Genomic DNA, 11,951 nt, shown 5'->3' with positions numbered 1-11,951 from the left:
GTGTGTGGGGTGTGGGTTGTGTGGGGTGGGTGTGTGGGGTGTATGTGGGGTGTGGGTTGTGTGGGGTGTCTGTGTGGGGTGTGGGTTGTGTAGGATGGGTGTGTGGGGTGTATGTGGGGTGTGGGTTGTGTGGGGTGTCTGGGGTGCGGGTTGTGTAGGGTGTATGTGGGGTGTGGGTTGTGTGCGGTGTGGGTTGTGTGGTGTGTGGGTTGTGTGGTGTGTGTGTGGGGTGTGTGTGGGGTGTCTGGGGTGCGAGTTGTGTAGGGTGTGGGGTGTGTGTGTGGGGTGTATGTGGGGTGTGGGTTGTGTGGTGTGTCTGTGTGTGTGGGGTACGGGTTGTGTAGGGTGTGGGTTGTGTGGGGTGTATGTGGGGTGTGGGTTGTGTGGGGTGCGGGTTGTGTGGGGTGTGAGTTGTGTGGTGTGTGTGGGGTGTGGGTTGTGTGGGATGTATGTGGGGTGTGGGGTGCGGGTTGTGTGGGGTGTATGTGTGTTGTGTGGCGTGTCTGTGTGTGTGGTGTGCGGGTTGTGTAGGGTGTGGGTTGTGTGGTGTGTGGCGGGGGGTGCGTCCATAGCGTCCGTATCTCCTCCTCAGTCGTTCATGAGAAAGCGGCCTCCCAGGTCTTGCAGCACTCAGGAGCCGATGGAATGTGATAATTGTCACTTTTGCAATCACGACAGGCATGCAGGAAGTGCCTCTGCGGCGTCTCTGTGTTTCCTCCGTGGCTAACRAGCCTGAGTGCTCCACGCATCGTCGGCTGCATCTTTCTTCCTTTGCCAGCTGCTGCTCGCGGTGCCCCTTGTGTGCTTGTTCATGTGAGGAGCTCTTAGCCCTGGGGGCAGAAACTGCGTGTGTGACCAAGCGCTTTCCCTGTTGGTCTGGCTTCATTTTATGGTGTTGAGTTTTTGATACACAGGAATTAGTAACTGTGAACTGTATCTACTTTTTGTGAGGAGATGGGGTTTCACCATGTTGCCCAGGCTGGCCTTGAACTCCTGGCCTCAAGCAATCCTCCTGCCTCGGCCTCCCCAAGTGCTGGGGCCACAGTCTTGAGCCACTGCGCCTGGCCTGGTATGTGCGTTTTAATGGTGTGTGCCTTTGCTGTCGTTCTTAGGGAAGCCTGTTTGACCATCTGAACATCTTTCTGATACTCGTAGAATTCTTTTTTCAAATTAAAAGCCTTCATCCGTTTGGAGTTGTGTGTTTTCACATGAGGAAGCTGCTGATCTTTATCAGGTTTTAAGATGGTGGACGATGCCTTCTCAGGTCACTCATCAAATCTCCATCCTCAGCCGCGAACGGAAGAGCAGCCCTCGTCACAGGCTTACCCAATCCACTGTCTGTCTTGAGCTTTCTACTCTAAGCCATTATTTATACAATTATTTATAAAATAGCTGCATGTCTAGCGATTAAACCTGTCCCCATTACTATTTTAGGACTTTCTTGACTATTATTCTCTTGCTTTTACTCTCCCATGTGAACCTGAGAAACCTTTTGCTGAAATTCGATTCCAGCAAGTGCGGGTTGCATTTACCCGATGTCACCCAGCAGCGCAGTACCAGGAACGGCTGTGGGGTGGGCTTCTGGGCCCCCGAATTCCTCTGATCACAGAGCCCTGACGTTTGCGGATTCCTTTCTTTTCCGTTATGGGGCGTTGCATACATTGTCCATCTCAGGCTTGCTTGCTTTTTTTTTTTTTTTTTTTTGAGAACGTCTCACTCTGTCACCCAGGCTGGAGTGCAGTGGCATGATCACAACTCACTGCAACCTCCACCTCCCGGGTTCAAGGAATTCTCCTGCCTCAGCCTCCCGAGTACCTGGGATTACAGGCACCCACCACCACCACACCCAGCTAATTTTTGTATTTTTAGTAGAGATGGGTTTCACCATGTTGGCCAGGCTGGTCTTGAACTCCTGACCTCATGATCTGCCTGCCTTGGCCTCCCAAAGTGCTGGGATTACAGGCATGAGCCATCGCACCCAGCCCTTTTTTTTTTTTTTTTTTTTTTTTTTTGGACACAATCTCACTCTGTCGCCAGGCTGGAGTGCAATGGTGTGAACTCAGCTCACTGCAACCTCCACCTCCCAGGTTCAAGTGATGCTGCTGCCTCAGCCTCCCGAGTACCTGGGATTACAGGTGCCCACCACCACACCCAGCTAATTTTTGTATTTTTGGTAGAGACAGGTTTCACCATGTTGGCCAGGCTGGTCTCGAACTCCTGACCTCATGATCTGCCTGCCTTGGCCTCCGAAAGTGCTGGGATTACAGGCAAGAGCCATCGCGCCCAGACCTTTTTTTTTTTTTTTTTTTTTGACACAATCTCACTCTCACCAGGCTGGAGTGCAATGGTGTGAACTCAGCTCACTGCAACCTCCACCTCCCAGGTTCAAGTGATTGTCCTGCCTCAGCCTCCCGAGTACCTGGGATTACAGATGTGAGCCACCACACCCAGCTAATTTTTGTATTTTTAGTAGAGACAGGGTTTCACCATGTTGGCCAGGCTGGTCTCGAACTCCTCACCTCAGGTGATCCACCTGCCTTGGCCTCCCAAAGTGCTGGGATTACAGGTGTGAGGCACCAGCTGTGTGTTTCTACAAATCTGGACAGTCCTTAGTTTCTCAGTGCGTGGCCTCCCCATGTGGAAATCTTGTTGGAGGTGGGTGGGACTTTGACCCTCAGGGTTGCCGATGTCTCCTTCCTGTTTCTCATCTCCTTTCCATTCTGTGGGGTGTCCCTGGAAATTCCCCTGGTTCTGCACTCCAAGGAACAAGTCCTCTCTTCAGCCACATCCAGACAGCAATTCGAGCCACTTGCTTAGCCTTGGTTTCTCAAGTTACTGACTGCATCTTACATTTAGGAGACTTTCTTCCATGGGTATTTTTCATATCTGGTTCTTTTTTTATAGTTGTTTTGATCCATAAACTCATGTTTTTGATTAATGCTTTTCTCTCATTCCTTCATGCCTTTGGAAATTCTAACAGTCGTCCTAAGACCTCTTTAATTACTCTCTTTTTCTGTCTCTTTGGGTTTAAATTCACCAATTTTGTTGGATTTCTTGGCTGACGCTCCTAGAATTGGATTTCCTCAGGTGCTTTGTCTTTATTTATTTATCAGGGTATTGCTGTCATCCTGGCTGGAGTATTGTGGTACAGTCATCACTCACTGCAGCCTCCAACTCCTGGGCTTAGGTGATCCTCCCACCTCAGCCTCCTGAGTAGCTGGGACTACAGGCATGAGCCACCACGTCCAGCTGCCTTGTCATTTTGCTGAGTGCTCATCTTTTATGGAAGTTGTGGCTTAACTCCATGAGCACCCACTCTGGGAAGAAAGTTTCAGAGCGTCTCCTCCTGGCACTTCTGACTCCTGACGTGGAAGTCAGTGGTGGGTGCCGCCCTGGGGAGGTGCCCCTTCCCCTTACCCAGGCGGGTGTCACCCTGGGGAGGTGCCCCTTCCCCTTACCCAGGCGGGTGTCACCCTGGGGAGGTACCCCTTCCCCTTTCCCGGGCGGGTGTCACCCTGGGGAGGTGCCCCTTCCCCTTACCCGGGCGGGTGTCACCCTGGGGAGGTGTCCCTTCCCCTTACCCGGGCGGGTGTCACCCTGGGGAGGTGTCCCTTCCCCTTACCCGGGCGGGTGTCACCCTGGGGAGGTGTCCCTTCCCCTTACCCGGGCGGGTGTCACCCTGGGGAGGTGCCCCTTCCCCTTACCCAAGCGCGGGTGCTGCTGCCTCTCGCCATGGGACACTTCTGGCGGCAGCCCCAGGGGTCCATCAGAGCTGGTTTCAGTGTCTGTTCCTGCTCATTGAGCTCGTCCCCACCCTGAGTTCATGCCAGGATCCTGGCCGCACGCCCAGCACCTGTCCCCGCCAATGGACATCAGAGCCACACGCCCGGCACCTGTCCCGCCGATGGTCCCCAGAGCCTCATGGCTTCCATGCCACTCACTGCAGCCGGCTTCTGCTCCTCATGAGCTATGGAGAATTTCACCTTGTTTCCTAATGTTACTTTTAACTTTTAAAACAACTGATCTATCGTTTCTGTGTGTCTGAAACGGCAGGGGAGGGTTCTATGTCTGTGGTGCTGACCAATGTCTTCCCCACCATTTCATCCGTCACAGCTGCAGCGGGCCTGGGTCTGCAGAAATCATGACCTAAACTGTATCCTCATCTGTTTGAGGACAGAAGCAATCACAGAAAAAGCCACCAGGTGTCGTTCTGCCGATCAAGGGACAGGGCTTCAGGGACAGATGATTGTGTGGAGGGGGGTGGGACCGGGTGAGAAGCCTCAGGCACTTGGCTCTGCTCTCCTCGAACGGCTCCATCGGCAGCACCCCGAGAGCTCAAAATGCGGGGCGCCCCTCCCCGGAGCTTCTGACTCCACAGGTCCCAGGTGGGGTCTGGGAATTTGCGGTTCTTGGGGGTTCCAGATGAGATTGGTGCTACTGGGTCACTTTGAGAACCACTTGTTTGGAAGGAAGACGCTGTTTCTCTCATTTGTTTGAGATGCTCAGTGTTTGGTGAGGTGAGTGGGAGGGTCTGGACAACGGCTGGCCCTGGGGTGGGAATGCTGTGGCCACTGCCTTCTTCGCCTCCATTGTATCTGAAACCTCCGTCATCCAGGAAGAGATGGTTTCCTGTTGGACATTGATGAATGGCGCCCACTGCGCCCTGGGAGATGGGATTTGCCTTTCCAGCGATAAATACAGGCAGATCCTGCCCGGAAGATGGATCGCTGCTGCAGAACGAGGCATGTGTGTGACAAGAGGGTGGCGTCACCCACAGCCGTACCAGAGGAATTATCATTTCCCGAAACCGACCTGGGCTCCAGGGGCAGGGACACGCTAAGCAGATTGTAAATCTTTTTTAAAAATCAGGTTCAATGAAATCTCTCAAAGGTATGCACACAATTTCCTCCAGAGTGAATATGAAGCCCTGCCTTTTGTTAAAGGGGAAATTCCGTTCTGCCAAAGGGAAAGTGCTGACTAGGTACCTCTTGGGTTTGTACCAGGTGAGACAACCTGGGGGTCAGGATGCCTGGGTTTCCGTCCGCGTCAGCCTGGACCTCTGGTGCATCCAACCCTTTTCCTGGAGGCCTGGGCTGGGAACACAGGGCTTGCTTGGCCTCTAAGGTTGTTTTCCTCATCTTGATGACACAGCTTTGCACAGCGCCCAGACAGAGTCATGCTGGTTCTAGGGACTAATGCAGATGGGTGGATGGATGAGTGGGTGAAAGAAGGAAGGGATAGATGGTCGCTAGGTGGGCAAATGAGTGGGTAGATTGATGGATAAATGGTGGATGGATGGGTAGATGAGTGGCTGGATGAGTGGGTGGGAGGATGGATAGATAGATGGTGTCTAGGTGGGCAAATGAGTGGGTAGATGGATGAGTGGTGAGTGGGTGGGTAGATGGATGAGTGGTGAGTGGGTGGGTGGATGAATGGATGGGTGGGTGGGTGGATGAATGGATGGGTGGATAGAGATGGTGGCTAGGTGGGTGAGTGAGTAGGTAGATGGATGGATAAAGGAATGGATGGATGAGTGGGTGGATGGATGGGTGAATGGACGGATGGATGGATGGCTGGGTGGATGCAGGGATGGATGGGTGGATAGATGGATGAGTGGATGGATGGATGGATGAGTGCGTGTGGATGAATGGATAGATAGTGGCTAGGTGGGTGAATGAGTAGGTAGATGGATGGATAAAGGAATGGATGGATGAGTGGGTGGATGGGATGGGTGAATGGATGGATGGATGGCTGGATGGATGGATGGATGGATGAGTGGGGGATGGCTGGATGGATAGATGGATAGAGTGAGTGGATGGATGAATGGTTGGCTGGTTGGATGCAGGGATGGATGGATGGATGGGTGGGGATGCATGGGTGGGTGAATGGATGGCTGGCTGGATGCAGGGATGGATGGATAGATGAATGAGTGGATGGATGGATGAGTGCATGTAGATGAATGGATAGATAGTGGCTAGGTGGGTGAATGAGTAGGTAGATGGATGGATAAAGGAATGGATGGATGAGTGGGTGGATGGATGGGTGAATGGATGGATTGATGGCTGGCTGGCTGGATGGATAGATAGATGGATGAGTGAATGGATGGATGGGTGGGTGGGATGCATGGATGGATGAATGGATGGCTGGCTGGATGCAGGGATGGATGGATGGATGAGTCCGCGTGGATGGGTGGATAGATAGTGGCTAGGTGGGTGAATAAGTGAGTAGATGGGTAAATGGGTGGATGAGTGGGTCATTCTATCAGTTACTGTATCCAAGGAATATTGGCAAAATGGAAGAGAGGTGGGCTTGAGCAAATGGTGGCCATAACTTGAGAGGTGAAGTCTCATCCTCATTATTTTCAAAGTGAAAACCAGATTTTATAACAGTTTAGTGGATCACAACACCCAAAAGGAAACACACAGTTCGTCACACAGCTAAACCTATCAGTCAAGAAAGAGCCAAGTTATCCCCAAATTCTTCTTCCCACTTACAAGGGCAGACTGCCCACAAGGGCGAAAAGCCCAGAAACGCCGCCTCACAGGCTGCCTGGGAGCCAAAGCCTCGAGCTCAGAACGGTGCCAAGTGAAGAGGTGAACTTTGGCCACAGAAGCAGCCACGGCTTCTCTCCAGTCTTGTGAGTGGGCATCCCAGTCAGCGGCCCAAAGAGAAAACTGCTCATCCCCCCAGATGCTGGAACACCTCCCAAGGTAGCCACGTGGGCACGCAGATCTTAGGAAGGAAGACACCCAGCGGAGACCAGGGAGGAGCTGGACATGGGGGACACTCAGTGCCGCCTGCCTGTGGACCCCCTCCCTGTCCCATTCCTGCCACAGAAAACACCCCGTCCTCCGAGGCTGCAGACTGCGCTCAGCACCCAGGTCCTGGCTCCTCGCTGGGCCTGCGGCTGTGCCACGCACCGTCCTGCCTGCAGATGAGAGTGCTTGGTGCTGGTCTCCAGGACGTCGTCAGCAAATGACCCTTCCAGGAAAGCCTCCACATTGTTCTCCCTGTGTGAGGGACCCTGTGGGGAGAGAAGCAAGGGGCTGTGCCCCTCTCTCTGTCTCTCTGTCTTCCTCTGTTTGTGTGTCTTTCTCTGTGTCTTCATCTCTATCTCTGTCTTCTCTATAATCTGTTCCTTTGTCTCTCTCTCCGTGTCTGTCTCTCATGTCTCTGTCTTATGTCTCTATCTCATGCCTCTGTCTCTCCATCTCTGTGTCTCTGTATCTTTCTGTCTCTGTTTCTGTGTCTCTGTATCTTTCTGTCTCTGTTTCTGTGTCTCTGTCTACGTCTCTCTATGTCTCTGTCTATCATTAGATGGGCATGGACAAGCCCCTGTGTGTGCCCCGCCACCGTCTCCCTTCCCTCCACACGTCCAGCCACTGTCCCTTAGGAGTCCTTTGGCTGAGTCCTGGACAGGGGATTGGGGAGGGGGACGCAGCCCCTCAGGCCTGGCCCAGAAGCACCCCCCAACCCTACTCTCCGCCCCCTCACCCCCTCTCCATCCCCTGCTGTGAGTCAGGGAGGGCCAGCACCCAGGAGGTGATGGAGGGCACCTGGGTCCCGTGCTGGGTCCCATGTGGCCATGCGAGGCTGCCCCCCGCCCATGCCCACTGGCTGCTCTGTGCTGCCACGTGAGCCACGTGGTGGCTGTGATGGTGCCAGCCCGGCCTCGTGGGACCCGGGTGCTGGTTGGCATGTGTGTCCTGATGATACAAAGAGGGCTGGCTTCATTCTTGAACCTCGGTCTTGGAGCCAACAAGCAGGATCAAGTGGACCCTGGGCCACGCTAGCCTTGCCTGGCCCTCGGAGTGGTCCCCGCACTCGCCAAGCCCTGGCATGGCAGCGCTCTTGGGAAAGGGAGGAAGCACGCCCTCCCTGGAGGAGCTGCTTGTGCTCTCCGTCGAGGCCAGCACACAAACAGCCTCACCAAGAGCGAGGGCCACACCCAGCAATCCTCCCCGGGCTGCAGTGGCATCCAGGCGGTGCCGGGCGCCGCGTCCTGGCCTCCATTTAGAAACTGACTGTGTCTCGTGTGTGGGGCCTACAGCCCGACAGGAGGGCTGGTAAATTGCAGCTCGGTGTGCGAGGAAGTACTTTTGTCCCTGAGAGCCTGGGCTGTGTCACCTGCAAACCACGAGAAAGAGCTGGGGCTCCAGGCAGGGCCCCGATGAAACCTGTGTCTGTTCTGCCGAAGCGGCCACAAAGCCACCCAGAGCTGCGGAGACCCGGCGTCTGGAAACCAACAGCGATTGTGTCGCGTTTCCTCCCAAACGCCCTTAAACGGGCAGGACAGCGTGGCAGGTGAGGACGCTGACAGGCCAGTCAGCACCAGCGGAGGGTGCTACAGAGGCCGGCAGGTTTCTCCACTCTCACAGCCTCACGCTGGCTTTGCCTGTCAGCCAGAATCTTCCAGATCCGCGTAGAACAGTGAGATGGGCCTCTGTGACGGGTGTGCATCCCCTGCTCTGCAAGATCAGGAGCTGAGCAGGAATGGCGTGCCACAGAACTGAGCAGGAACAGGGTGCCACCGCCTGCCCTGGTCTCCAAGTGGCTTTATCGTTATTCAGGACAGCGCAGCCAGCAGGCCAGGAGACAATGGCCATTGGTGAGATGGTTTGTTACGCACGGATCCCAGAGAAGGGGGTACCACCAGGCAGGGCCACCCAGGAGGCACCAGGCTGGACAGGAGGCAGAGGGTATGAGGGGGATGTGGCCAGGAATGGGCAAGGCCGGGTGAGCAGGCCTGGGGGGCCTGGCTTCCATCGTCTCAGCAGCTCTGGGGCATGGGCCATCCTCCTGAGTGGTTGGGTGGGAGGATGGTAGCCCAGAGTGAAGGACAGAGGCAGTGGGCTGTGGATTCGCGTTGGCTGGTGGGGCGTGGACTCTCGTTGCCTGGTTTGCATTTGGAAAGACGCTGGGGGGGTGCTCACTAGCTCTAGGAAATCACTCACCCGGGAGGGGCAGGCCTCTCGGGCTAGTGAGGTTCCAGATGTCAAAGCATCAGATACAGAAAATATGAAAGCATGATTAATACACGGGCTCCGCTCCTGCTCGCCCCCTTCATCCCTGGGCTCCTGCTGACGGTGGAGTCGCCGGTGTGGTGAGGGAGGGCGGAGTCGCTGGCCTGGTTAGGGACAGTGGAATCACAGGCGTGGTTCTCCAGCCATCTCCAAAGGAGCCACCATCAGGGACCTCACACACGGCACCCCGGAATCGGCTCTCTCTTCTCCAGGTGCCCTTGGGGTCAGTGCCCCTCCTGGTAATCCTTGTGAGGGTGGTGTCCCGGCTTTCACCTGGGAGGACTGAGGGGCCCAGACCCCCATCCCCACGCCTGACCTGGCAGGGAGCGGGGGTGGTTGAGGACTCGGAGTCGCGGGTGTCCCTGGACTCATGCTGCAGGGAGGGTGTGCGGACATAGGGGGTGGGGTTGGGCCTGCATCTCCAGGGCTGCTCCGTGACCGGGCTGTTCTGGACTGTCAGCGCCCACGCGCACCAACTGATGCAGTCGAGGCTCTTTCTTTCAGCTTCTGGGACGTGTCTGCATTCTGCTCGAGAGAGCTGGCAGCAAGCTGGGGCCTCCTCAGGTCCCCGGTGCCACCTGGAGAATGCAGAGGCCACAGTGGGCCTCATGTCCCCTGAACACCCCTCCTCGGACATGAGGGCTGACCCCAGAACCCCTAGGTGCTCACAGAATGAGCTGTCCCTGCAGGTACATCAGAGGCTGACAGGAATGACAGCTGAGTGCACATGTGTGTGAGTGTGTGTGTGTGACTGTGTGTAGGTGGGAGTGCCTGTGTGTGACTGTGTGAGTGCGCCTGTATGTGGGTGGGAGTGCGTGTGTGTGAGTGCGCCTGTGTGTGAGTGGAGTGCGTGTGTGTGGGTGTGAGTGTGCCTGTGTGTGGGGGTAACAGTGCATGTGTATGCTTGACTGAGTGATTATGTTGCACACGTGTGCATCTGCGGTGCATTTTCATGTGTGTGTGTGAAGAAATTGATTGATTCTAAGAATTGGCTCACACAATTGTGGGGTTGCCAAGTCTGAGATCCTTAAGGTGGGCAGTGGGTGGGTTTTCTGTGTCATGGTCTGAAGGCTGCAGACCCGGGTGGGGTTTCCGTGTCGAGGTCTGAGGGCTGCAGAACCGGGTGGGGTTTCCGTGTCGAGGTCTGAAGGCTGCAGACCCGGGTGGGGTTTCCGTGTCGAGGTCTGAGGGCTGCAGACCCGGGTGGGGTTTCCGTGTCGAGGTCTGAAGGCTGCAGACCCGGGTGGGGTTTCCGTGTCGAGGTCTGAGGGCTGCAGACCCGGGTGGGGTTTCCGTGTCGAGGTCTCAAGGCTGTAGACTCGGGTGGGGTTTCCGTGTCACGGTCTCAAGGCTGTAGACCCGGGTGGGGTTTCCATGTCACGGTCTGAGGGCTGCAGACCCGGGTGGGGTTTCCATGTCACGGTCTGAGAGCTGCAGACCCGGGTGGGGTTTCCGTGTCGAGGTCTGAGGGCTGCAGACCCGGGTGGGGTTTCCGTGTCACGGTCTGAGGGCTGCAGACCCGGGTGGGGTTTCCGTGTCACGGTCTGAGGGCTGCAGACCCGGGTGGGGTTTCCATGTCACGGTCTGAGGGCTGCAGACCCGGGTGGGGTTTCCGTGTCGAGGTCTGAGGGCTGCAGACCCGGGTGGGGTTTCCGTGTCGAGGTCTGAGGGCTGCAGACCCGGGTGGGGTTTCTGTGTCGAGGTCTGAGGGCTGCTAGACCCGGGTGGGGTTTCCGTGTCGAGGTCTGAGGGCTGCAGACCCGGGTGGGGTTTCCGTGTCGAGGTCTGAGGGCTGCAGACCCGGGTGGGGTTTCCGTGTCGAGGTCTGAGGGCTGCAGACCCGGGTGGGGTTTCCGTGTCGAGGTCTGAGGGCTGCAGACCCGGGTGGGGTTTCCGTGTCGAGGTCTGAGGGCTGCAGACCCGGGTGGGGTTTCCGTGTCGAGGTCTGAGGGCTGCAGACCCGGGTGGGGTTTCCGTGTCGAGGTCTGAGGGCTGCAGACCCGGGTGGGGTTTCCGTGTCGAGGTCTGAGGGCTGCAGACCCGGGTGGGGTTTCCGTGTCGAGGTCTGAGGGCTGCAGACCCGGGTGGGGTTTCCGTGTCGAGGTCTGAGGGCTGCAGACCCGGGTGGGGTTTCCGTGTCGAGGTCTGAAGGCTGCAGACCCGGGTGGGGTTTCCGTGTCGTGGTGTGAAGGCTGTAGACCCGGGTGGGGTTTCCGTGTCACGGTCTGAAGGCTGGCATCCTTCTCTGGGAACTCCCCACCCGTCTTTTCTCTCAATGCCTGGCTGGGTGGGGCCTGCCTGCGTGCACGTCCGCTGCCATGCGGAGTGTCCACTGACGCAAGCATCACTCACAGCTGCAGACATGGTCCCAGCAGCACCTCACATCCACTGAATAATGGGACCTTCACCTCCTGAGCAGATGTAAAACCGTCACATGGGCCACAGCCCACAGGCGTGGATTGCAGGGCAGGGGTGCAGTGTGTGAGCACGTGGCCTGCTGTTGGGGACCAAGTTTGGAGTCTGGCTGCCTCAGGTGCTGGCTGGGTGACTTGGACATACTCCTCAGCCTTCCGTGCCCATCTCCTAATTCCCACAAATGCTCTTGAAGGACCTGCCCCAGGGTCCCCTCGACGGAGAGGGGGAAATGCTCTGGGAAGCTCTGGGCCTGCTGCCTTTCACAGAGAGAATATTCGGGAAAACCACGGTGGAGACAGAGGATGAGGGACACAGAATGGCCAGGTGGACGAGAGAGGGTGGACGGAGTGAGCGGATCACAGTAAGACTGCGGATACACGGCTGTTTCTGGCCAGCGCGAAAGGCAGCTGCATGTGGTTTGACCGAATAGACACGAGGTTGCCTCCTCACTGCTGTGGTGACAGCGTCTGAGGTGTTTTCTCGTACTAGGTCGGTGCAAAAGTAATTACAGTT

General features: G+C 56.4%; 1 protein-coding gene across 1 annotated transcript in view, besides 1 other annotated feature; it reads left to right on the top strand.

Moving 5' to 3' along the window:
- The window catches only part of GALNT9 (polypeptide N-acetylgalactosaminyltransferase 9), a 133,218-nt gene that overhangs the window by 106,227 nt on the left and 15,040 nt on the right, over window positions 1-11,951 (top strand). The gene's annotated exons all lie outside the window — the stretch shown is intronic.
- Window positions 3,231-4,091: an enhancer, noted in NCBI's record as "H3K4me1 hESC enhancer chr12:132703817-132704677 (GRCh37/hg19 assembly coordinates)". NCBI's record gives its function as "activates a minimal SCP1, AML or CMV promoter by ChIP-STARR-seq in naive H9 embryonic stem cells {active_cell/tissue: H9 hESC(naive)}" and the evidence as "EXISTENCE:reporter gene assay evidence [ECO:0000049][PMID:30033119]".

The sequence above is a fragment of the Homo sapiens genome, chromosome 12 (assembly GCF_000001405.40).
Source record: "Homo sapiens chromosome 12, GRCh38.p14 Primary Assembly".
Taxonomy (NCBI): domain Eukaryota; kingdom Metazoa; phylum Chordata; class Mammalia; order Primates; family Hominidae; genus Homo; species Homo sapiens.
This window is presented reverse-complemented; position numbering and strand designations above follow the sequence as displayed.